The following is a 26,531-nucleotide window of genomic DNA, read 5'->3' on the forward strand; positions in this document are numbered from 1 at the left end:
CTACAATTCTTTCTAATAGAAATCTCTACAGTTCTCTCTAAATTCTTTGACTGATGAATTTCTGCTATAACATTTTAGTTCTGGTGAAAAGATTAGCATGGTTATTTCAGTTATGTCTGCACGTTTTCCTGCTGCCTACATTTTTCCTATCAGAGAGGTAGGAGGTAAAGTGCAGGACTCCAAAGAAGCTGCCTATAAGAAGATGAGTCTGGGAGCACCTGCAGGGTTAACACTCATTCATGTCTTGAGTGTGTCCCCCTCCCGTCTTAGAAGCTCACTCCAAAGCCACCCCATCCTTATAGAAACTCACAGGCCTCAGCTCTGTGGGATCCCACTCCAGGTACTGGGCAATATGCAGCATTTGGTTGACAATGCAATCCATCTCCTAGAAAATAGCAAAGGGAGAAAATATCAAAAGGAGACAACCAGAGATGTGTCATTAAGAGCCGAACTCAAAATTAAGCCCAGTGGGAAGAGGGACAGGGCAGGGCAAGAGAAGAAGCTGGTGCAGTAACTGCCATTTTGTGAGGAGCTCAGTTTATTTCTGTCTCGACCACAAAGCTCACGAGAAGCACAGAGCATGCATAAGCTGGAGGTATGCAAAAAGCTCATAAACACTGACTTCCTCCTGGACCCACCTTCCTTCCCTTATTCTGTGCTTTAACTTGGAAAGCATAGAAAGCACTCCTATTTTTATCCCTCTTTGTGATTATAGCTTCCACAAATACTTACAAATCAAGGCAGATTTCTCCTGTCACTTCTTATCACTCATCCCCACAGCTGTAGCAACTTGGGATCCATCTCTCAGCTCGAGGCCAGTTTCTCTTGCATGGAGGGTTACTGTGTGTGTCTCAGCTCAGGTACCATGATTTTGATTCCTTTTGTTATCTCCTCTGTTTCCTTTTTACCATGGTCCAGCCCTTAGCCCAGCCCCCAGGAGTCCGTGAACAGGAAACTCATGAGGAATATGTTTACTTGATGACTGAGCCTTTTGGTACTGAGGCCAGGCTCCATCTAAAACCTCACAGAATTGTTGGCTGCCAATGAGTCAGTGTTCTGAGAGCCCCGCTGAAACACACCAGACTGAAGAGGCATTTGGTGTCAAAGTTAGCACCATTTAGGCACCAGTTAAGATGTTCACAGTAAGATTGCTTTGGGAGGACATGTTGGTAGACTGAAGCAAGGTTCAAAAGTGTTACCTCTGCCAGATAGAATGCCGGGTCCAAATAGCAAGCTAAAACCCAGCAGGGATTTTAAAAAATTGTATTTTATTTAAGTTAAAAAACAATCCATTGCAAAACTACAGGATAGGCCAGTAGATGAGGGTAAGAAAGTGGGCACAAAGGTGGGGAAAGGTTTTGGCAGAAGTTCCAAAAGAAAAGAGCTTGTGAATCTCTGGTTGGGTCCAAGATTTAAAGAGAAAACGTATTTCAGGAACCAAGAATTGGACTCAGTCTTGGGCTATGAAAATAGAAGCAGAGTTGGCAGATTTAAAAAAGAAAAAGTTCCCCTGAGGTCTTCCTGGTCAGGCCACATTTGGATACTTAAAGAATCATAGGGGACGGATTCTGTTCTGTGCCACATTCCAGGAATGGCATTTACAAACCAGAGCTTGTCCAAAGTGGATATTTAAGCCTGCCTTATGAGAACCAGTGTAGGAATAGAGAAATTTTAGCTTGGAGAAGATTTTAGGGGAGATGTGATAGCACCTTCAAATACTCGAAGGCCTATTGTATGGGATAGGTATTCCATTTGTCCTGGCCAGGTATGGGGGACAGAAGGAAGCAGAGAGGGATGCAGGGAAGGAAGGAGTTGAGGACTGGCTTATTTTGGCCTCCCTGTTGGATTGGGGGAGAAGGGGAGCAGAAGCAGGTTTTGAGTTGAAAACGATTCCCCACCACAAAGAGGAGTGCCTGTGTTCGAGAAGGAAGCCCTCTCCAGCAGTCACCCCCAGCAGTGGAATGGCTGTCTTAAGGTAGGAGTCCATATGACAGGGATTCCGGTGAAAGGTTGAATCAGATAACTCTTTTGAGATTTGCTTCAGTCTTCCAATATTACCTTTAAAACGTATCTGGAATTTAACAACTTCTTACTACCTGCAATGATTCTACCCTGTACAAGTCTACACCATTTCATGCCTTGATTATTTCAACGGCCTCCTAACCAGTATCCCTGCTTGCATTCCCTCTGTCACCCAGGCTGGAGTGCAGTGGCGCCATCTCGGCTCATGGCAACCTCCACCTCCTGGGTTCAAGTGATTCTCCCATCTCAGCCTCCCGAGTAGCTGGGACTACAGGCGCCCGCCACCACACCCGGATAATTTCTTTTGTATTTTTAGTAGAGACGGGGTTTTGCCATGTTGGCTAGGCTGGTCTCAAACTCCTGACCTCTGGTGATCCGCCCACCTCAGCTTCCCAAAGTACTGGGATTATAGGCTTGAACTACTGCACCCAGAGTACAGTGATTCTGTTAAAACATAAGTCAATCACATCACTCCTCTGCTCAAGATCGTCAATGGTTCTCCATTTCTCTGGAGTAAAAGATACACTTTTTTTTTTTAATTTTTTTGAGACGGAGTCTCCCTCTGTCGCCCAGGCTGGAGTAAGTGGCGTGATCTTGGCTCACTGCAACCTCCACCTCCAGGGTTCAAGCAATTCTCCTGCCTCAGCCTCCTGAGTAGCTGGGACTACAGGTGTGTGCCAACATGCCCGGCTAATTTTTGTATTTTTAGTAGAAACGGGGTTTCACCATATTGGCCAGGCTGGGCTCGAACTCCTGACCTCGTGATCTGCCCGCCTCCCAAAGTGCTGGGGTTACAGGCAAGAGTCACTCGCCTGGCCAAAGATAAACACTATTAATCACCTATAACGTTTAATAAGATTTGCAAACTCCCCACTCTCCTACCCCCATCCCATGACTTCTCTGATCTCATCCCCTATTACTTCCTCACTGTGATCTCATCTGTTTACTCATTCTGCTCCATTCACACTGGCCCGGAGTGAATCTTCTAACATCCTAGGGACCCTCAGGACCCTCGCACTCACTGTTCTTTCTCCTGGAAGGCTCTTCCCCTAGAATTACTCCCTCACCTTCTTCATGCCTCTGTTCAGATGCCCCCTCCTAGAGAGGCCTTCCTCGGCGACCCTCGCTAAAGCTTCAACTTCTTCCAACATTTCCTTTCCTTTATTTTTCTTCTCAGCACCCATCCCTACCTGACACATGTTTTTACTATGCTGCTTAGTGTCTGTGCTTGGACTAGAATGAAAGCTTCATGAGGGCATGGAACTTTGTCAGTTGGCTACACTGCCATACCCTCAGTGCTTAGAAGAGTGCCTGACATAATGCAGATACTCAGTAAATATGTGTTGACCAAATGCTTGAGAATCTGTGATTCTCTGGATGTTTCCTCAAATGACCCAACCCGCAGCATTGCAATGTAGCTGGAGGGATCCCATAGAGGCACCCTGGGGTTTAGAGGGAATTGGGATGATTCAGTTTGTCTAGTGGACTTCTTCCCTTCCTTCCTTCCTCTGGTCTGACTCAGCCCCATGCATCTCAACCTCAGGGCCTTCCTGTTAATGAGCCCTATCTCTGACATTGACAGTCAGGACAACAGGGCCTGTCTGACTCTGTTTGCCTTCTTCTCTTTCCATTCTTCCTTTTACTCCACGAGCCTTGATCGATCCTTGCCTGTTCCTGAAGGGGTGAGGGTGAGTCTCAGGCTTTCTCAGGTGCAATGGGATGGGAACATGTACTTAGAGCAGACAGAACCAGACTCCTAGGCTAGTGCCCTGGAGTAGGAGAGGCAGCCAAGGGTGACGGCAAAGCACATCAGCAGTGACCAGCAGCCTCCTTCCTCTGAAATCAGCAGTAACCAGCAGCCTCCTTCCTTGCACATCAACAGTAACCAGCAGCCTCCTTCCTCGTGCCCTTTTCCCTTGGTCTTGTTGCCTCCCCCGCCCTCTCCTCTTGGCCTCAGGACTCCTGCAGGAAATTGCAGGAGGCGCTTGTGAACTGAATGGGAAGTTAAACTAGGTGACATGCTAAAGCATCCCTCCATCCTGAGATTTGATGATCCCAGGCTTCTAGAGCGAAAAGGTAAGTTGGCATTCACGCTCTGCAAGGCCGGCCCTTTGGAAATAGCGGGTGGAGAGGTCCTAGTCGGATTTCCTCAGCCTGCATCGAGACATTGCTATTACTACAAAGACGGAACTGAACATTTTCAGATTCTTCCTCTGCTTGCTCCCTGCTCCCCCAGCCTTTCTCAGGTCCATGAGGGATATTTAGAGTGAGAACTTACCGCTTGGTCCAGGAGACCGTTCTCATCTGAATCATAGAGGCGAAACATGACTGTAAGAAACACAGAGGTAAGCCTTGAGGTGTCCTCTAAGAAGCGCGGATGGCTGAAGTTTTGATGCTGCCAGGTTTTTAGATTAGTTCTGTCACCACTGTGACGAAGGTTATGGCAGCCAGCTCTCCCTCCCTCTGAGCACAGAGTCTGACTTCCTTACAGAGAGGCTGGGCCAAGGGAGGAGAACCACCTGGCTTCTGGACCTGTCTAAGCAATACCTATGTGGCTGATGAAGTCCAGGTCATGAGTGTAATTCCCTGGGGAGCATGAACACATTTCAGCGTCACTAGAACACAACCTAAAGCAAATGCCCAGCTGGGGGTGGGGCAGAGGCACCAGAATTTTTCTTCTATTGAGCATAGAAAGTGTAGAGTTAGGCAGATTTAAATCCTAGGACTGCCCTGCCACTTCTGGGGGGTGCCCAACAAGTTACTTAACTTCTTTGAGCTCAGCTTCCTTATCTATAAAGTGGAGAGAATAATAGTTGGTTTCTCCTAGGATTATTATGAAGATTAATGTGTAACTGATAGGCCAAATCAACTGGGCTTAGAACATAGAAAGCACTCAACAGATGTTACTAATTTTTATTTTCCTTTTCAAATGAACATTTATATATGGCATTTAACATATACAAGGTACTGTCCTATAGACTTTCTCATTATTGCTTAATCCTCAATAATGCTATGGGGTAGTTATTACGGAAGCCATCTTTTCCTTTTTCTAAAGGTATTCGGAAATACGCTATTCAGAAACATCTTCAATCACGTTCTAACTGCTGGGAAGTGATGTAGGATAAGGAAGATCTGGGAGAAAAATCTGGACAAGGGACTACATGTTTACTTATGGGACCTGGAAACCTATGTTTTACTCAACCAAAAGGAAAAGATCCTGTCTGTGGTCTCATAAGTCAGCATGGCAGGAAGCAGAGATAAGCATTTCTTCATTTTCCTGCTATTCTTTCTTTCTTTCTTTTTTTTTTTTTTTTTGAGACAGAGTTTCACTCTTGTCGCCCAGGCTGGAGTGCAATGGCGCCATCTTGGCTCACTGCAACCTCCGCCTCCCGGGTTCAAGCGATTCTTCTGCCTCACCCTCCTGAGTCGCTGGGATTACAGGCATGCACCACCACACCCGGCTAATTTTTTATTTTTAGTAGAGACGGGGTTTCTCCATCTTGGTCAGGCTGGTCTCAAACTCCCGACCTCAGATGATCCGCCTGCCTCGGCCTGCCAAAGTGCTGGGATTACAGGCGTGAGCCTCTGCGCTCCCCGGCCTTTCCTGCTATTGTTTAAAACCCTTCATCATGCCTGCTTTCTCTGCGGAGCACCCGTTGACTGATGCGGTGCAACCACTTGGGGCACGTACCAGCCTGGTCCCCTTATTTCTGCTAAGTTGTCCTTGTGTCATCATTTCCTCCTAGATGTTTTAATGTCTCTGCACCTTGTGTTTTTTTCAGGGGTGCATCGCTGGTCAAAGTCAAAGTCCTTTAAAGGTAGGGTCATGGGCTTTCGATTCTTTGTGATTCCTCAGAAGGTCCCAGTCAGAGGCATGCATCGTATGCTGCTGACTCACCCAGCAGATGGTTGAATGACATAGAGGACAGACCTTTTCTGCTAGCATTATTCCAGGACTCTGGGCCTAGGCGACTCTCCAACGCTGACCTCTCTCTGGTCCTATTGTGCATGAACAATAGAACTAGAAAGGCCTGAGTAAGCATCCTTATTTTAGCAGTGTAACCTTGGGCAAGTCTTTTAACCTTCTTGTGCCTTCCTTCTAGGTTACAATGAGGTTAAAATGAGAATGCATTCAAAGTACTTAGCAAATAGAAGGTGTTTATCAATGATAGTTGTTATTATTGCATTGGCAATAGGTGTGGGATTTCAGGCTATTATTCCCAAAAAATACATGTTTGGTTTTTAAAAAGAAAAGTTTAATTTGTTTTCAGTCCTTAAAGTTAAGGAAGGATATAAATTGATATGGTTTAATAAAAAGCAAACCAAAATGAAAACTCTATATGACCAAGTTTCTGTAACAAAAAATTGCAGGCCGGGTGCCATGGCTCACACCTGTAATCCCAGCAATTTGGGAGGCCAAGGCGGGCGGATCACCTGAGGTCAGAAGTTCGAGACCAGCCTGGCCAACATGGTGAGACTCCGTATCTACCAAAAATACAAAAAGTAGCTGGGCGTAGCGGCGGGCACCTGTAATCCCAGCTACTTGGGAGACTGAGGCAGAAGAATCACTTGAACCTGGGAGGTGGAGGTTGCAGTGAGCAGAGATCACGCCACTGCACTCTAGCTTGGGCAACAAGAGCAAAACTCCATCTCAAAATAAATAAATAAATAAATAAATAAAGGAAAAAATTAGCAAAAGATGGAGAGGGATCCAAAAGATTAAAAGAGAGTAAAGAGACATAATAACCAGTGGTGATGTATGAATTTTACTCGGATCCTGATTCAAACAAACAATTAAAAATATCTAGGATAATTGGAAAAATGTGAATACTGACTATTTGATAATAGCAAAAGGAATCATTTTCTTTAGCTGTAATGATGGTATTGAGGTTATATTTAAGAAGAAGAGTCTGCGATTTTAGAGGTACATACTGAAATATTTACAGATTATATGATGCCTGGAATTTGCTTCAAGATACTCTGAGGCAGAGGGAATGGTGGGAAGTATAAACACAACAAGATTGACCATGAGTTGATAATTGTTGAAACTGGATGATGGGGCCACAGATGTTCACTGTACTCTCTACTTTTATCTTTGAAATTTTCTGTAATAAAAAGTTTTAACATTTCTTTGCATGGTCATTATAAGACTCAGTTGGAGAGTCATTAATATAAAAAAATCTGTCACCTTCTCTTTGGTAGTCACTAACAAATACAATGCCTGAAACTCAAAATCCAGCTAAATGCTGGAAATAATTTGATGTTTCACTTTTAACATTAGCTAGAAGAAAACAGAAATCTGCTACATTTGCCACCAAATTAGCACTTAAGACTTGCAATTGTTAACACTTCAAACCTATGGGAGAGATTTTAAGCTCAGCTAATGAGCAAACTGTTTCATTTTGTTTTTGGCAAGAATTAGCCTTTGGCAGACTTCCCTTGCTTATGTTTAAGTTTTGTTGACTAGTCTTATTATTAACTGGAATTTTGACTTTGGCTGTAACATGTACATTTTTTTCCCCTTACTGTCTACTTAAGTTCCCAAGAGAAGCAAAGACAATACAGATTTTTTAACAAGGTCCTGTCATCTCCTATTTTTTTAGAAGTATGTCTGTAGGCTCACAGAAGCCAGGGAAACCATCACTGGACTGAATCATCTACAAGACTGCAGGCTGTTTCAGCCACTGTGAACTTTCTGCTCCCAGCTCTTACTCTCCTCCTGAAGACATGTTTTTAAAACCTACTTTAGTAGCACCACGAAACTGAGCTCAACTCCTTTAATTAACTGGCCCCCTCGTTCTCTAGAGGCCAAGAATCTTGGGGTGGCGGGGGGGCATAGGTAGAGAAATGGACAAAGGCTTATCAAGACAGAGGTTGATGAGATCTCAAGAAAAGAATATTTCCTCATAGTTAAAGAGTTGCCTGGGCACAGAATAGGGGAAGGAGGACAGATGTTGAATATCTTTCTTTAAAAAATCTATTAAGAGGAGGTAGCAGTTTTCTGAGTAAAGGCTTTCAGGAAGTCCTGCCAGCAAAGCAAGGAAGTCTTGACCACTTGATGGGACCCCTTCCCTTTCCAGATTCTGGTTCTCAATACCTGGGTTTCAGATGCCCTTCCCATGTGATACACAACTGGCAATATGTCCCAGGGTGGATTCTAGGAGTTGTTCATATCACTTTTGGTAACAGGACAAAGAAACCTCCCCAAAGAGGCGGGACGCATATCCGTGATATCAACTCAATCTCCAGTGTGTTTAGGAATAATGGATAGAACCCCAGATCCTTCTCTAGGAAAAAGCTGAAGCCCCTTGACAGGGTGAGCACTTACACTCCAGCTTATCCTGAGGCCTCCCCGTCTCCAGCAGGGACAGGTAGCACACAACATCCTTCAGGTATACCACTGGGGATTCCGAGCTTGAAGACCGAGGGACGGGGGGTTCCAGGGGGGTCGCAGCCACTTGGTCTTCAGCTGGTGCTTGCTTCTCAGCCATATTTGATTCTGCGATGAACAAAAGGAAAACATCCAAGGACATTTTCTGTTTAGTAAATATTAACCCCTCTTTGTTACCCCATCCTTTTCATGGTAGAGGCAAGAATTTTGTAGAAGTGTCTTCAAAAGCTTTGGTTACATAGATGTGACCAAATTAGTGGCCCTAGAAATCCAACTTGTGGAGTTCATATTCTCTGAAGGGATCCCATGCTGACCCCTTTAAGAGTCTATTTCCTTGCAGGAAATTCATCTATACTCTGAATATTCAGAAAAGATGATAGTGATTATTGGTAATATCAATAATCAACAGGTAAATGTCATTTGGCCTACTTTTTTGGGAACATACCCAACTTATAGAAGTAATTTTGGCTGGGATTTCAAAATGGTAAATGGCCAACAGTCATTTCTCAATAGACCTTGCAATTTTCTTTTCAAACACATTTAAAGACACATAAAGGATGAATATTCAAAAGAGAAAACCGGGATTGATAATTAACGAATCTCCAGAAACTAGGAAGAACTCAAACTAACTGCAAGTCTAATTTGGATGAAGAAAATGCAGAAAGTGGATTATTGTACCACAAGAATGGGGTAAGTTTTCCCTTTAAAATTTCTCCTTTCTAAGGTAGGAAAACACTTTGTCTCTTCCACACTCTGTCCTGTGGTTCAGAAATATAAGCTCTATTACTAACAAGAAAACTGGGCACCCCTGTTTTCCTGTGTGAATTCTATTTTTTGAGACACTTTGAGTGCTGTCTTCCGTCTCTACCTCCATGCTCATCAGAAATGATCTCTTAATATCTACTAGGAGTGTACAACTCACAGAAAACAACTAGCCAGGGAACAAAGGGAAGATGGACAGTGGAAAATCCAATGTTTTAGGTGTTGTTATATTATACCACCAAGTAACAAAGTACTGAAGGTAGAGGCAGTGGGAGAGACAGCCTTGATCGTAATGTCTGTTGAGGAAGGCAATGTTACCTGTACACTCTTCATTCGGAGAAACAAATAACCAAGCAATGGGAGTGAATATTCCATTTTAGGCAAGCAGGGCTGTGCTAGATGAAAGCCTTCCAGGTTCCAGGGATTCAGTTGTGGGTCTGAGGAGGGAGTTAACCATCATCCAGATGGACAATAGGAGAAACCAAAGGTCACTGACACAATTTGTATATTACAGAGGGCCTCATGAAGAAACCAAGATGGAGCCTAGGAAACGTGGCTGCAAAGTAAGGAAAGAAAGCTTCATCCTGAGGTCTCAGAAGACCAGATTTTCAAAAGTAATTTTCTACTGGACAAGGCCCTTAGCGGGATGCAAGAAGATATCACCTCTATTATACAAAAGCAGAAAGCCTCAGGGTTTGGCAAGTAGAGATGAAAATACAATAGGATGAGATAAAGACAGGGATAGTGAGATAGGGGAGGTTGTAATAAAATTACATATTTAATGAAGTATTAAGATTGTCACTGGAGGAAAACATGGGAACAGGCCTTTGTACTGTGTAGTGCATTACACCCAAAGTTATTGCTAGGTCCTCATATTATTCATCAATTAAAACTCTATCAGTGACTTCTACCTTGACTAAAATGGGCTAACAGAGACCAGATTTACCCTCTCACCTAAAACAGTGACAAAACTGGACAAAATGTATGAAACAATGGTTCATAGGACATTATATTATCAGGGAGGACCAAACACTGATCTCTGAGAAGATGAGATGACTCCTACAACTGCCACATCAGACTGTTTGGAAAGAGCTTCTAGGCCGCAGCACAGAGAAGGGGAAGCCAGGCCAACCCTGGAAGTCTCTCTGAGTGGAGGTGAAGCTGGAATCTGGAGCCCACAGTGGCTAGGATTCACAGAGCAGGCACTGGAGAGGAGGGTATGCACAGAGAGCTAGCTCTGAATGTGTGTAGAAGGTCCCCTTTGAGTAACAGCAGAGAGTTCCCTTCAATTATTCAGCTGAGTAGTAATTAGCACACTTGTGGAAGGAAAACACCTAAGGCTAAGGCTGGGGAAAGAACTAGGATTAGAGCGAATAATCCCTGGAGAGAACCAGGAGTAATGCCTATTCCCACCAACCAGGGTAGAAACCCCCCATAATTCGTGAATCATTGATAGAGTATTCAGAAACATTTTTTCTCAGTAGTGAGTAAATGCCTTTCTGGTCCTGTCCAGTGAAGCTTAAAAGATAGATCCAAAAAGATCAGACTGTTTCCAAGTAACCTAACTGTACCTAAAAACAAAGCTCAGGACTTTGTAGGAATGTGAAAATCCAGTACTCAACATTTAGTGAAGAGGCACCATAAATTCTATACAAATTCTTCCAGAAAATTTAAGAGGAGGGAATCCTACGCAACCCTTTTGGTGAGGCCAGCATTACTCTAAAGCCAAAAACAGACAATGACATGATAAGACATGAACATGCAAATCAATATCCCTTATGAACACAGAGGCAAACGTTCTTAATATTTTAGCAAATTGAGGCTCATAATATGTAAAAAGAAATTAAATAAGACCAAATAAACAATTAAGTACATGAAAAGATACTCAACATCATTAAAGCACAAGAATATTTATAACATTTTTATTTATGATAATTATAAATTGGAAGCAATCTAGATGTCCATCAGTAGGTTAACAGACGAACAAATTGTGGAATATCTATGTATTAAAACACTAATCAGCAACTAAAATATGTGAACTATTGATATATACAAAATGGATAAATCTCAAAATTATTACATGGAGTGAAAAAAGGCAGACCCAAAAGAGTAGAGAGTGTATGATAACATTTATATAAAATCTAGACAATGTAATTTAATATATATGGCAGAAAGCAGATCAGTAGTTGTATGGGGATGAAGGGTGGGCGGGTAAGGAGGGTGGAGAAAAGGGATTACAAAGAAAACTTTTAGAGATGATGGGTATGTTCATCATATTAATTGTGGTACTAGTTTTACAGGTATATACGTGTGTCAAAACTTATTAATTATACACTTAAAACATGCAATTTTTTGCCAATTTACAACTCAATCCTTGGATCTTGAACCATTTCTCTAGTTTTCACTGAAGTCTACTGCTCACTCCTGTCATAGAGATGCAGGGGTCCAGGAAGGCTGAGAGGCACTGACACTGTCTCATTAGTGTCCTTCCTCTTCATTCTGCTTTATATGAAATAGCCCTGACCTATGGCCATCTGAGTACGACCCTCAGGTACCACCAGTAAAAAATGCCAACACCCTCTTCCGGATCACAGAGGTCCTGTCCTGGTGCCATGTCCTAAACCCTTTCATGTGACGGCTCTTGGGCAGACCTGACTTGTTCCACTTTCTCCCTTGGTATCTGTGTTACTTGTTCCCTTTCAGTGGGGCAGTGTGGCATAGTGGGAAGAGCACCAGACCAGGCAGCAGAAGACCGTGATTCCACCGCTGAGTTTGTGTTCAGTTGTGTGTGATTTAACACACAAAGTATGTGTGTGTGATTTAACACAAGCAGGCTTACTCCACCACACTCAACCTCAGTTTTCTCATCTGTTTAAAGAGGGGATTGCATTAAAACTGATGTTTACCCAAAGTCTTGAATTACAGAAATCATTCAAGTAAATGACTTAACTAAGTGAAGAACAAAACTGGGTCCCAAGGCCGGGCACGGTGGCTCATACCTGTAATCCCAGCACTTTGGGAGGCCGAGGTGGGTGGATCACCTGAGGTCAGGAGTTGGAGACCAGCCTGGCCAACATGGTGAAACACTGTCTCTACTAAAAATACAAAAATTAGCTGGGCGTGGTGGCGGGTGCCTGTAATCCCAGCTACCCAGGAGGCTGAGGCAGGAGAATCACTTGAACGCGGGAGGCAGAGGTCGGGAGGCAGAGGTTGCAGTGAACTGCGATCGTGCCACTGCACTCCAGCCTGGGCAACAGAGCGAGACTCCATCTCAAAAAAAAAAAGAAGAAACTCGGTCCCAGATTATCTATACAATACAGTCTGATCCCAATTCTGTAAAAAAATTATAGAAAAATCTACAAGGAGATTACACACACACACATGTAATTGCATTGGTAAAATTATGGATGATTTTATTGTGCTTTTTTAAAAACACATTTTTTAGAGCACTGTAAAATTCAGAGTAAAACTAGAAGAGGGTCCAGAGGTTTTTCACACACCCTGCTTCCCTACACATGCATAACCTACCATGCCTCACTCCCCCACCAGAGTGGTACATTTGTTACAGCTGATGAATACATCAACACATCATTATCTCCTGAAGTCTATAATTTGCATTAGGGTTCACTCTTGGTGTTCTACATTCTGTGGGTTTGGGCAAATGTACAATGACATGCATTCACCATTATAGTATACAGAGTAGTTTCGCTGCCCTAAAAATCCTCGGTGCTTTGCCTATTCATCCTTCCCTTCCCCTGACCCTTGACACCACTGATCTTTGTTGTTTCTTTATTTTTTTGTGTCCTTCAAATTTCTTACAATGTGAGTGTATTACTTTTATAATTTGGAAAAACTAACACAAAATACTGGGGGACTTTCCTTGAGATTTCAATATTCCAAGTCGCTGAAACATCTCGACAGCCTGAGAAACTAACGAAACACCAGGACACTGAAGTTCTCCTTGTTCATCCCAGTTAGTCCTGGGCCTTCATGAAGGGAAAGGTGGGCTCAGCCTTTCCTGAGCTGACACTCTGACAGTGATAGATTGCTCAGGCCTCCGAGCCGAAGTCTGGACCCTGAAAGCCCTGCTCTTCTGTCTTTATGGCTCTGGGAATGAAGTGGGCTTTGCTAGATCTGAGCTTGGAGACTGATCTGATAGGCCTAGACAGGCCACATGAAATAAGAATCTAAGCTCTTTCCCTGGCTTCCACCTGGGCAACAGGAAAAGGCTGGTCTTTTCAGCAGATGGCCTGATTGAAGGTGAGTCCAGGGCTTGGCTCTTCCTTGCCGGCAGAGGCCCCTCTCTGTGGTGACTGCCTGGTCCTATAATTCTTGTTTCTGGTGAACAGGGACATCTAATTAAGACATCTGTGGAAGAGGGCCTACCAGGAAAAGGTTTTTTTCCCTTAAATCTCAAGTGTCAAAAGAAGATAAAAAAATGCTGTATACCTCCTTGGGCCAAGAGTCAGATAATTGCCCTTTCATGATTTTACTATAGGGGGCTGATTTTTCCCATACACAAGGAAAATGGTACATGACAAAATCACTTCTCCAGGAGGAAATCTCTGGAAGTTTCTCTTTTAGTCCCAGAATGATACAACTATTGCAAATACGCATGGAGGTCTTAAATAAGTCAGCTAATTTCCGTTATCATCATTGATCATCTTTTCTCAAATATCACATAAAATGACATATCCCCAATAAGTTCTTCCTTGGTACCTCAGAAACATTAGCCACTAAAACACAACCTGCTCAGACAATTTGGAACCTCAGTGAATGAATTGTATCTTCTTCTAGGTTCCTCTTGAAGTTCCAGATAAAATAAACCCTGTCTCTACAAAAAAAGAAAAATTAGCCTGGCCATGATGGCATGCACCTGTAATCCCAGCTACTCAGGAGGCTGAGACAGGAGAATTGCTTGAACTCGGGAGGCAGAGGTTGTGGTGAGCTGAGATTGCACCATTGCACTCCAGCCTGGGCAACAAGAGTGAAACTCTGTCTCAAAAAAAAAAAAAAAAAAAAGTCTCTAGGTAAATAATTTGGGGCAGGATGCTTTTTACCACTGAGTTTCTTGCTGGGAGTTTAAAATCTCAGAGCTCCTAGTTTCACACTTTCCTCCCTAGTATGAGAATGATCTATGCCTGAATATGCCTCCTCTAGTCCATAGAAGATATAAGAGTTATCTGTGCCTTACACAGATGCCTGAATATGCCTCCTCTAGTCCATAGAAGATATAAGAGTTATCTGTGCCTTACGTCCATTTCACCAAGGGGCTATGGACTAGCATGGCTGAGTGGCGTGCTGGGCAGGGCATGGACGAGCCAGCAATTTTGTGGAGTCTTGGCCTGCTGCTGTCCCTGAAGCCTTCGGGAAGGCACAGCTGCTCCTCATCCTTGCTTTCTGGTGCTCTGTGCATGGAGTTTGCTGAGCTTATGATCCAGGGGTAACTGTTTTTCCCCAACCATGCTCTGCTTTCCATCTATCATGACCTGTTTATCTCACCAGTCCTCAGTTAAACACTGAAAACTCGATAATCCTTCCAGTTTCTCTTTTTGCTGTGACAGGAGAAAAGATTAGAACTACATTGAAGAAACTCTCTCTTCAAGGTCCCTGTTGCAATTAGTTCCCCTTCTCCTTCAGCTGTAGTACCTCTAATCTATCTTGTTTTATATACATTTAAAATATAGGCTGGGCGGGGTGGCTCACGCCTATAATCCCAGCACTTTGGGAGGCCGAGGTGGGCAGATCACGAGGTCAGGAGATCGAGATCATCCTGGCCAACATGGTGAAAGCCTGTTTCTACTAAAAATACCAAGAATTAGCCGGGTGTGGTGGCACGTGCCTGTAGTCCCAGCTACTCGAGAGACTGAGGCTCAAGAATCACTTGAACCAGGGAGGCGGAGGTCTCAGGGAGCTGAGATTGTGCCACTGCACTTCAGCCTGGTGACAGAGCGAGACTCCGTCTCAAAATAATAATAATAATAATAATAATAGTAATAATAATAATAATAATACTGCATTCTTTTTCCCCTGGGCATATCCTAAGAGCTGGAATTCACCTTTGGATATCCATAAAGCTTTTCAATAAAATGATAATGCACAGTAAAAAAAAAAAAAAAAAAAAAAGGTCTGACTCTCTGAGTCTTTGTATTGAAAGCTTCAGGAACAACCTGGGAGAAAGAAAGCCCATGAGAGACCTTTCATGGGAAGAGGATGCCCAGGTGACACACTTGGAGACTGAGGTTGCAGGCTGAAGGAGATAATGGCAGACCATACTGAGTTAAGAATAGAGTATACTTCTGTGCTGGGTGTGGTGGCTCATGCCTGTAATCCCAGCGCTTTTGGGTGGATCACTTGAGGTCAGGAGTTCGAGACCAGCCTGGCCAAGATGGCAAAACCCTGTCTGTACTAAAAAAGTACAAAAATTAGCCAGGCGTGGCAGCACACTCTTGTAATCCCAGCTACTCAGGAGGCTGACGCACAAGAATAGCTTGAACCTGGGAGCTCGAGGCTGCAGTAGGCTGAGATTGTACCACTGCACTCCAGCCTGGGGGACAGAGCAAGACCTTATCTCAGACAAAAAAAAAAAAAAGAAAAGAATAAAGTATACTTCTGGAAGGTGGCCTGAATAATAAATGCTAATATTTATCAAACATTTACTGTGTGCCAGGCACTGTTCTAAGCGTTAACATATCTAACTCACTTAACCTTCATAAGAACATTTGTTATCTCACTTAGGGACACTGAGGCACAGAGACGTTGTTCAAACATGCCCACGGTTACAGAGCTAGGTAGTGTTGGCTCTGGGAATCAAACCCAGGCATCCTGGCTCCTTAAGCAACATGCTCTGTTGCCTGATCCAACTTGAGTTGATAGTACTCAGGACATTTGTATTGAATATGAGAACAGAAATTAAGTATGGTAACCTTCACCTCTCATTTTTGTAGGAGCTTCTGGCCTTGGGCTGGCCAGCCAACAGCAGAGAGGAATGGCTTCCCATTGATAAATGTGTCAGGGAAGATTCCACATCTCTCACAGCCCAACAGTGGGCCTATGGGCAGCAGGCACCACTACAGCAGCTCCGCTGAGAGTGCAGCCTTGCTCATTCCACAGGAACCAACCACACCACCAGGACCACTGTGTCCTCTCTCTCTATAGGAAAGACTGCAGGAGTTTTGAGGTTGGATGATTCTGGATTGAATCCCTGGCTCCACAGGTCACACCAGTGGTATATAATCTCTTAAGGCCTCAGTTTCTCATGTGTAAAGTGGTGTGATTGTGAAGCTTAGATGAAATGTGTAATGAGCAGATGCCTGGCAAATATATCTTCAAGACCATTTGAGCTGGCTTCCTTTGCTAACTTATTAGCAACTCCTCAACTTATTCAAAATAGTGTATATATGTTGTTGGAAGTCAACAAGGGCACATTTTTACCCTCTTGCTCTGTTCCTCTCCAGACATCCACTGGTAGAGTCATCTGCACCTCAGCCTTACAGCCACAGCCACCTCTCTCTGTCTGTCTGTCTGTCTCTCTCACACACACACACACACACACACACACACACACACACTTCCCCTGAGAAGGCTCTCCACTTTTTCTGGGCAGGCAGACATATCAGAGATAAACATCTAGCAAGCTGTCCCAAGTCCTGACCTGCTCTGTTCTAGGGCAAGTGAAGCAAAAACCTTTACCCAGCCTCAGAATCCCAGAACATTCAAATGACAGGAGCCCCAGAGATGGAGGTTCTGAAGGCCACAGGAGGACCAGATCTGCATAAGATTGCACAATTATATGAAGACAGCACTGTTGGTTAGGTTTCCCCACTTCTCCCCAAGGATGAGGTATTCCCTACTTTTCCCACAAGTCTTATATTCCAAAGACTTACCAGTATCAGGGGCACAGGCCTCGTCTGCTTTGGTGGCATTATCTGCATTCTGTATATTAGTATCTGAGGAAAAAAAAGAAGATTTAAAGACCAACCCAGGCCCTCTAGCTTCTTGGAAGGGCAGGTACAGGACATCCCCATGGGACCTGGTTTGCCTTGATTGTGTCTGTGTCTCGGGGTTATGTGTCAGCTGGGTTCATGCTCGCTTATTGGGATTGGCTGTGTCTCCCCCATTATAGCCCAAGCTCCAGGAAGACAGGGATCATGGCTTCCCTCTCCTCTAACACTTCCAAGCTAGTCCCAGCCTGGACACAGAAGCTGAATGTGCTCCATCCGTGGACCGTCAGCCTTTGCTGAAGGCTCTCTTCCCCCACCATACATTATTTTGTGTCTCCTCTTTCCCCATCCTGCTCTTTGATCCATAGTGGCAGGAATTATGCCTCCTGTTTATTCCTCTTGCTGAGAGGTTCATCAGGGCTTCCCGTAAGGCACTATGAGGAAAGGCGTCCCTGTCCCTTGGTTCATGTTCGCACCGTTGGGGCAGTTACTATGTTCAGGGGACCCTCTAGGAATGCAGTCTGTGGCTGTGGCAGGGGATGAGAGCTGCGCAAGGTCTTCCCATCTTGGGGAAAGCTCTGTGTACCTGCGCTGTTGGCCTCACTGTTGCTGGCTCCCTCCGTCGGGTGGTCAGAGGTCTCGTGTCTGGGCTTCTGGCTGAAGGCCAGGAAGAGGTGAGTGCTCAGTGGCTGGGGAAGGTCCACCTCCAGGTACGCCCTCATGAACAGCTTGAAGACATCATAGCTAATCGGCTGAGAAGGGGCAAAAGGGCAAAGTCAGTGGAGAGAAGCAAAGGGACAGAGAGGAAGAGAGAAGGAAAAGGAATAGAAAAGCTGGCAGGTGAAAGGAATGGAAAGGGAGGCAGTAGGACATGGAGGAGCTGATGGGGACAGGAATGAAAAGGCCAGGGAAGTGATAGACAATGAGAGGCACAGGGTGCAGGGGATGGGTGTAAGAGAGAGAAAATGTTGCAGTTGCATATTGGGGCTTGGTGGGGCACAGAACCAGGGCAGGCTCCTGTAATAAGAAATGATATTATGTAAATTTAGATAAAAAGGGACATGTTGGAGAGTGAGCCTTGGGAGTGGAGGCCAAAGTGCAGGGCTCTGCCTTAGTCCAGGCCTGTGTGAGGGATGTGGCTCTAATGAGCAGGGACAAGATCTGTGCCCTAGAATCCTAGTTAAGATGAAGAAGGATGCAGTTGAAAATATGATGCAAAGAAATAGTTCTTCTGTGGTATCTTGGTTTCCCTCTTGTACCATGACGGATGTGATGCCTGAGTATTCAGGTCTCAGAAAGTAGGAAAGACCTGGAAGAGAAAAGAACAGGCTCCATCCTTCATGACTTTCATAGTCCTGATCTTCCCTGGAAAAACCCTCAAATAACAAGGGTGGGTGTGTGTTTCTGGCTCAGCTGCTTCTCAAAACATGTCCTTGTGAAGGTTTTAGGCACCAGGAGAAGAGCAGGAAGCCAAGGACAGAAGGTAGAACCAAGAGATGTGCCAAAAACTAGACCCTCTTCCTGCTGTGTCTCTCCCAGTACCGCCTGGCTTCTGGTCCCAGGCTGGGAGCAGCTATGCCAGAAAGGGCTGCTGCACTCAGCAAACACTCAACAACAACAGTTTGCAGTGAGTCATCACTGGCTTGTGCTTTGATGGCATCAGATTCTTCATCAAATCGGCAGATGCTCCTGGAAATCATTTGAGGAAGCACTACTCTGAGATCTGCTGTGCAGGCTTTTGTGAATAATAGCAGCCATGAGAATAAAATCCCTTTGCAGGAGCCTACTTGATGTACCCATCAAAATGTTGGTAGCATTTAACCCCTTGTCTGTTCTGGGAGATCTGGGAGACGTCCCAGAACCAGAGACTGGCTTACATGTGTATAAACAAGTTTGAGTTCAAAATCTTGGCCTTAAAAGCGAGTAATGGCCTCCCCACCCCACTGAGGGGCTCACAAATAAATTTCTGTTTAGCACCAGGCTTGGCTGTTCTATCCGTCTCCTTTGCAGAGTGAAGGAAGTCTGATTCAGCTGGACAGAGGCTCTTACCAGATTAGGGGAACTCCAAGCAAATGGTGGACTCACATTTCTTGTGACAGCTACCCATCTCTCTGTTCCTTTTCTGTCCCCGAGTCTCTGTGTCTCTTTATTTCACACTCTTTCTGTCTCTCTCTGCCTCTATAACTTCATTGCCTCAGAATGTCCCTTCCTCCCACATCCTCCTCCTTTTTCCTAATATACAATAACAAAATCTTTTCTTCCTCCTCTCTTTTCTTTTTTTCTTCTTTTCTCTTTCTTTCTTTCTTTCTTTCTTTCTTTCTTTCTTTCTTTCTTTCTTTCTTTCTTTCTTTCTTTCTTTCTTTTTTTTTTTTTTTGAGATAGAGCCTTGCTCTGTCACCCAGGCTGGAGTGTAGTGGCACGATCTCAGCTCACTGCAACATCTACCTCCTTAGTTCAAGTGATCCTCACGCCTCAGCCTCCTCCCAAGTAGCTGGGATTACAGGCACGTGCCACCATGCCCGGCTATTTTTGTATTTTTAGCAGAGATGGGGTTTCACCTTGTTGGCCAGGCTGGTCTTGAACTACTGACCTCAAGTGATCTGCCTGCCTTGGCTTCCCAAAGTGCTGGGATTACTGGCGTGAGGCACCATGCCCAGCCCCTCTTCTCCAATTGTAACCCACCCACCTTGATCCTTGATTCCATCCTCGCTGGCTCTGATTGCATCTCCAGCATTTTCTTTTCATTTACCTGCAAGTATGTTAAATGTCCACTATTCCAAAGAAATTGCTGTCTACCAGATCTACTGGCCCATCCTTCTCCCCTTTCCTTTCAAATTTCTCCAAACAGACCAGATTAGCCTCCTCATCTCCTTAATCCCATTCGGATTGGATCCTAGCCCATTACCTCTGAAACTGCTTTGTTGAAGGTCACAGACGTGATCATCTCTTTTTAGACTGTCTCATCTTTGGCCTCTCTGCAACATTTCATCTTCTCTTCTTTTTAAAACTCTCTATTTTCCATGGAATTGTTCTGTTTTGGTTCTCTTCATTCTCTACTTTGATTTGACTGAATAATATGGCACTGTTCTTCATTAATTTATTTCTAAAGCTCTTTTTTGCATTGTCTCTTTGTACCACTTTAATTGACAAGTAGTATTTTAAAAGGTAGTTTTCAGTTCCAAAGTGTACTATTAATCTCTTTCAGCTAGCATCAAATGAAAACTATCAGAATAAAATATTTCTGGAAAGCAGACTGTACTAAATGATCTAATAAAAAGAAAGTTTAGTTAAACAGTCTAACATAATGCTGTAAAAAACCAAAGCCAAAAGATCATGAAACAAGATCAGCATGAGATTCAGGAAACCTCGTGACTGGTCTCAGACCAAGCGCATTTCTCCCCTTTTTCCAATCTGTTTCTTCTTCAGCAAATTGTGAGTGTTGAACTAGAAGATTTCAAGTTCTAAACTTCAATTAGCTTGCTCCCTGAAAACCAGCTCCTCTTCCTGACTCCACAATTTCTGTTAATGCCAATGACACCATTATGCTCCCAACATTACAGGCTGAGCTTTGAACTGTCAGTTGGCTGAGACTAGTTCTTGTCCCTTCCTTCTGTCCACTGTTCTTCTGCAACATCTGTCACATCCAGACCTTTTCTATGTCCATTGTCCCTGCTGCCATCACCAAAATTCCTGGATTCTGACTTCTGTTCCATACATCTCACCTGGGCCATTGCAATACCTCTCCAAGGCTTCCTTAACCCCATGTCCATCTGTTGGTCCTCCCACCTATCTTGCCTATCCTTGCCCTATTGATCTTCCTAAAGCACAACTCTGATAAAATTGCTTCTCTTCTCAAAAACTTTCCATGTGACGGGTGCGGTGGCTCACACCTGTAATCCCAGCTCTTTGGGAGGCCGAGGCAGGCAGATCATGAGGTCAGGAGATCGAGACCATCCTGGCTAACATGGTGAAACCCCATCTCTACTAAAAATACAAACCATTAGCTGGGCGTGGTGGCGGGCGCCTGTAGTCCCAGCTACTCGGGAGGCTGAGGCAGGAGAATGGCATGAACCCGGGAGGCGGAGCTTGCAGTGAGCCGAGATGGCACCACTGCACCCCAGCCTGGGTGACAGAGCGAGACTCCGTCTCAAAGAAAAAAACTTTCCATGGTTTCTAATTGCCCATGGAACTGAATTGAGATTAACTGAGGTACTACTGTGTTCTTACACTATACATTATAAAATATTTGCAAAACTAAATTGGCAAGTGGAAATTAGATGAATGTAAATAGAAGGCCTAATATGCAGTGTTCTACAGTCCAGTGGACCATCCTGTGTACTCTCCTAGACCTTTGGTATTCATAGCCTCCAATAATCCCCTCCAACCTAGATTTGTAGTTACTTCAAGCTCTGAGATGATTCTCATATTCTCTCCTATTATTCCCCATGTGCGTGTATGCACTCTGTCCATGCTGACCTCTGTGTTCTTTCCTGAGCAACCCTCCATGCACTCTACCCTGCATGAACTGCTTCCATCTCTACATGTTCAAGTTCCAGTCATGCTTTAAGGCCCAACCCGGATTCCACTTTTTCCAGAAAGCCTTATGATCGTCTGTCCCTGAATTTCCCTACTTGGCACCTTGGTTCCTGCCTTGTGACACTCATATGTGCTGCTCTGCATTGATATATAGTTGTTTGTGACAGACCTTGGTTCCTCTACTCAATCCAGAGCTCCTGGAAGTAGTGAGAATGTCTCCTTTCATCTTTGAATCCCCCACACCACCTACCACAGGGTTCTTCATAGGTATTTGAATGGATGATGTGTCCTAATCAGTGCACCTGAGGAATAGCCTGGTGCCTGGTCCCTGGATGTCATCAACTACTATGGGATCCATTCAGTCTATGTATAGATTGAATGGATATATGTATCTCCACTCACAATTTGCTGAAGAAGACACAGATTGGAAAAAGGGGGGAAATGTGCTATATATATATATATATATATATATATATATATATATATATATATACATATGTGTATATATATATATATATACATATGTATATATATATATATATATACACATATGTATATATATATACCCACATACATATATTTATGTGTATATATGTGTGTGTATATACCTATATCTATATCTATATCTATATATCTATATATCTTGAGCCTCTTAAGTGCAGGGCACAGTACAGTGCTGGGCACCAATGAATTAGGCATGAGTCCGTATCTTCAAAGAGTCAGTGTTATATAAGAGGTAAAGATATTGAAATAATTGCAATGTGTGGTCATCAGTGGCGAGTGCCATAGGAAAAGAGCTGACAAACTGTTATGAGAACTTAGAAAATAATACTGATGGAACTCATCCAACCATGCATGTCCCCATCCTAGAGAACAGGATGCACAGAATAAACCCAGAAGCACAGAACATGCAAACCAGAAGAGTCTCAGAGGGGACTCAGTCTTCTGATGCCTCCGAGGCTCAGGAAATTCAGTGATGAGCCCCAGCGAGCTAGCAGCAGAGTGAAACCAGAAGCCAGACCTCCTGACTCCCTGTCCAGTGCTCCTGCTACTATATCTGTCACAGGGTCCAGAGCTGGCATAGTGCTCCCTGACACTCCCTCCCAGTATCCCATGTTCAGCAGGCAAAGACATGCAACGATGTGCCACACTCTCAAGGTGATATCTGGGTTATACAAAAGTTCTTTAAAAGCACAGCCCAGGAACAGAGTAGCTGCTTAGTAAATGCATGATGAGAGACTAACTAGGGAGTGGCTAGGGGTCATGCCCAAACCAGATGACCAACCACTATGAGGCATGCTGGCAATTCTCTGAGACCTGGACTAACATCCCAGGCACACTCATGGTTCAGGCCAAAGGAACTCTGTTTTTCCCCAGCAGCTTTTATGCAGGAATTAGCTGGGCAATTTGCTCCTGCTGCAACACACTTAAAGAGAGTGTGTTAATCCTTACACAGACCAAGAAGAGAGAACTAGATGGAGAGCTTAGCAGGCATCCGGCACTTTCATTCTCAAGACAGCAGTGTGGGGAAGAACTGTTACTGTCATTCTGGGGATAAAACAAATTTTGACAACATAAATAACTTGCTGAAGATCATAAAGCGTGTGGCAGAGCTGGGCTTTGTGATCAGGTGTCTGGGTCCAGGCTCACAGTGCCACCAAGCCACCTGCCTCTTTTGCTTTTCTGGGTTTTGCCCACTCTCTAGCTGTCTGCCACCACTCTATTCTCCAGAGAATCACTTGGTACTGATGGGCAAGCGCATGTTCATCACGGCCAGATGCAGCTCTGCCACTCTGCAAAGTTTTATTCCCATCCTACCTTTGCTAGCAATCTGCCCCTTCCCACAGCTAACTCGTTTCTCATTGAGACATTTTAGCAGCAGTAAGCCATCAAACTCAAGAGAAATTAAACCCTTCTTATTTCCCTAACCCTGTGCCATGACATTACACCTACTAGAAGTCAGCTGCACTGTGTGAGAGAACGAAATCAGAGTGACAGAGCTCCCTGGGACCCAGCAGTGCCTGGCATTACAAAAAGTGGGGGCCAGCCCCGACAGAGGCGAGGGCGGCTGCGTGCTCATAGCAGCCAAGCGACTCCCTGCTTCTGAAAGCTCCTGTGGCCTCCACACCTGCAGTGGCCCTGACCAAACTGTTCCTCTCCCACTCATCAGCCCCAGGGCGGACAAGCTGATTAGCAGCCGCCGCCAGGCTTTGTTCCCGTGTTTTTGGAGCTGGGGGTGGGGGGTGTGGGGCAGTGAGTTCTTTGCTGGCTCTGCTATCTTCTCTGCATGGTTTCTCCTCAGGAATGTTCTTTGAAATGGTGCATTCTCAGTCTCGCCCCTGTTCTGGCAACCTTCTTCCTGCTTCATTCTCTCTGCAACTGGTGTATTTTATCCAAAGCCCCTTTTAGGTGTACCTTGAGGGCACAGGCTCTGTTGATTCATTTCCAGTGTCCAACGGAGAAGGTGTTGACTCAGTTTTGTTCAATGGATGACAACGTGAATAAGAAAGTGGCCAGTCTCTCCCTAAGTGAATCCTGCAGATCAGTCACTTTTCTGTGGTTAGTCTTCATAAAAGGACTCAGGAGCAGGGAAAAGGGAATTGAGTTAAAAACATTCTGGGGAAAGGGGATGGAAGAGGGATAATAATAGGTACAGATTTTTAAGTGCTTGTAGAATGTTAGCCACTTTGCAAAGATCCTCTCATTTAATTCACTCATCCACAAACTTCGAGGCTTTTTTTGTTATGTACAGTTTATAGATGAGGAAAGTGAGGCTCAAAGATATGAAATATTATTCAAGACCACTTGTTGATGGCAGAGGTAGAAGTCTAACTTAAGACCATGTAATTCCAGGGTCATGGCTTTCAAACCTGACCCTGCCAGTAGGAAGTAAGTCCTGGAGGGCAGGAACTGTGCTTCTATATTTTTATGCCTTCTACAGTGCCCAGTACAGTGCATAGAAGCCCAAGAAATGTTAGAGTCATTGAATTTGAAAGTAGGGGGAGATCTTGCATTCATTTATTCAGTCCACAAATGTTTATTGAATGCCTGCTATAAGCCAGATACTTTTCCAGGCACTGAAGACACAGCAGTGAACAAAAATATGCTAGTGGGAGAGACAGACAATTAATTAAGTAAATTATATAGTGTGACAGGTGGTGAGAAGTACTTAGGAGGAAAATAATGCAGAGCAGGGGGATAGGAAATGTCAGAAAGAGGGCTTCAAGTTTTAGATGAAGAAGGTGATGATCACTGAGAAGGTGACTTGAGCATAGACTGGAAGGTGGTAAGATAATGGACAATGTGATGTGCTGAGGAGGAACATTTTAAGAAACAGTAACAGCAAGCACAATGGTGCTGAGGTTACGGTGACACTGGCTTATTTGATAGCATCAAGAAGGCTAATATGCTGAAAAGGAATGAAGATGGGGAGAGTAGCAAGAGATGAGGTCAGAGAGCTGGGGGAGGTGCAGCTTGTAATGACCTTCATGTTTACTCTGAGTAGGGATTGGGGGAACCATGGGAGATTGTGGAGTAGAGCAGTGACAAGCTCTGACATAAGTTTTAACGGATTGCTCAGGATGTGTGTGAAGAATAGACTGAAGCAGCAAGGGCAGAAGCAGGGAGATGAGTTAGGAGACTCTTGCAATAATCTGGGCAAAATATGGTGATGACTCAGGTCGGGATGCTAGCAGTGCAAGTGGCGAGATGTGTCTATATTTTGGATACATTTTGAAGGTAGATCTAACAGAATTTGCCAATGAATTGGATGTGGGATGTGAGAGGACAGAAGTTGATGATGACTGCATAGTTTCAGGTTGAATAACTTGAAGGGTAGAGTTGTCATTTACTGAAATGGAGTAGACTGCTGGAAAAACAGGCTTTATAGGGGAAGATTAAGGACACATCAGTTTAGCTCATGTTAAGTTTGAGATGCCCATTTGATTTTTAAGTGTAAATGTCAAGTAGAAGGATAAGAAGAAATCAGGAGAATGTAGAATGTAGTGAAGAAAATGGAGGATGACTTGACCAACCGTGTCCAGTGTTGTTGAGCAAAATTGCTATTGGATTTAGCCATAGGGAGGCCCTTGGCTATCTTGACTAGTGATTTGAGTGGAAGAGTGAAGGTTATAGACTGATGCAAGGCATTTCAAGAAAGTAGGAAAAAGAGAATTTGGAGGCAATGAGTATAGAGAAGTATTTTGTACAGTTTCGCTGTAAAACACAGGAGGGAAATGAGGTGGTACCTAGAGGAGGAAGTGGAGTCAGGAAAATGTTTTTAATATAGAAGAAATAACAGGATGTTTACATGTTGATGGAAAAATAAAATATACGAAGAAAGCTGATATGAAGGAGACAGAGGTAGAGATATAGAGAAAAGGAGGGACGAGGAGGGAGGGAAAGAGGGAGTCTGGGGAAGATATGTTGCTGAAGCAATGCCTGTAAGTAGGCCAAAAGAGGATGGGGTTGAGTGCACACGTGGGGGAGTTGGACGTAGATAGGAGCATGGAGAGGTCATCTCTGGTTATAGAAGAAAAGGTACAGATAGGTGGGCCTATGGGGTGAGGGAGCTTGTGAAAGATCTGTTCTGTTTGTTCTATTTTTTCAGTGAAGCAGAAAACTCAGTTGTTAACTGAGGATGAGGAGAGGAGGGGTGAGAGATGAGCAGAGGAGAAGTAGTGGTAGTCTTCTAGGACAGTGGAATGAGTGTATGGGCTTGGGAAACATATAATGCCAGGTAGCACAAATGGCTCACTTGAGACTTAAGAGGAAACATGCTGAGGAGCAAGTTCTTCAAGGCAAGCGGAGTCTCCAAGAGGGAAACAAATTATGGAAAGGCTAAAAAACACAGGGGTTTTTAAAGGCTTAAAATGGAA

General features: G+C 44.2%; 1 protein-coding gene across 3 annotated transcripts in view; it reads right to left on the reverse strand.

The window, feature by feature from the left end:
• The window catches only part of DGKG (diacylglycerol kinase gamma), a 215,034-nt gene that overhangs the window by 133,159 nt on the left and 55,344 nt on the right, over positions 1-26,531 (reverse strand). For all 3 annotated transcript variants that reach the window (NM_001080745.2, NM_001080744.2, NM_001346.3), the window contains exons 4-8: positions 17,705-17,870; positions 17,062-17,124; positions 8,351-8,521; positions 4,301-4,350; positions 311-385 (exon numbers count right to left, since the gene is read on the reverse strand). In NM_001080745.2, coding sequence (NP_001074214.1) covers positions 311-385; positions 4,301-4,350; positions 8,351-8,521; positions 17,062-17,124; positions 17,705-17,870 — 525 coding nt within the window. The remainder of the gene's footprint in view (positions 1-310; positions 386-4,300; positions 4,351-8,350; positions 8,522-17,061; positions 17,125-17,704; positions 17,871-26,531) is intronic.

This window comes from Homo sapiens, chromosome 3 (genome assembly GCF_000001405.40).
Source record: "Homo sapiens chromosome 3, GRCh38.p14 Primary Assembly".
NCBI lineage: Eukaryota > Metazoa > Chordata > Mammalia > Primates > Hominidae > Homo > Homo sapiens.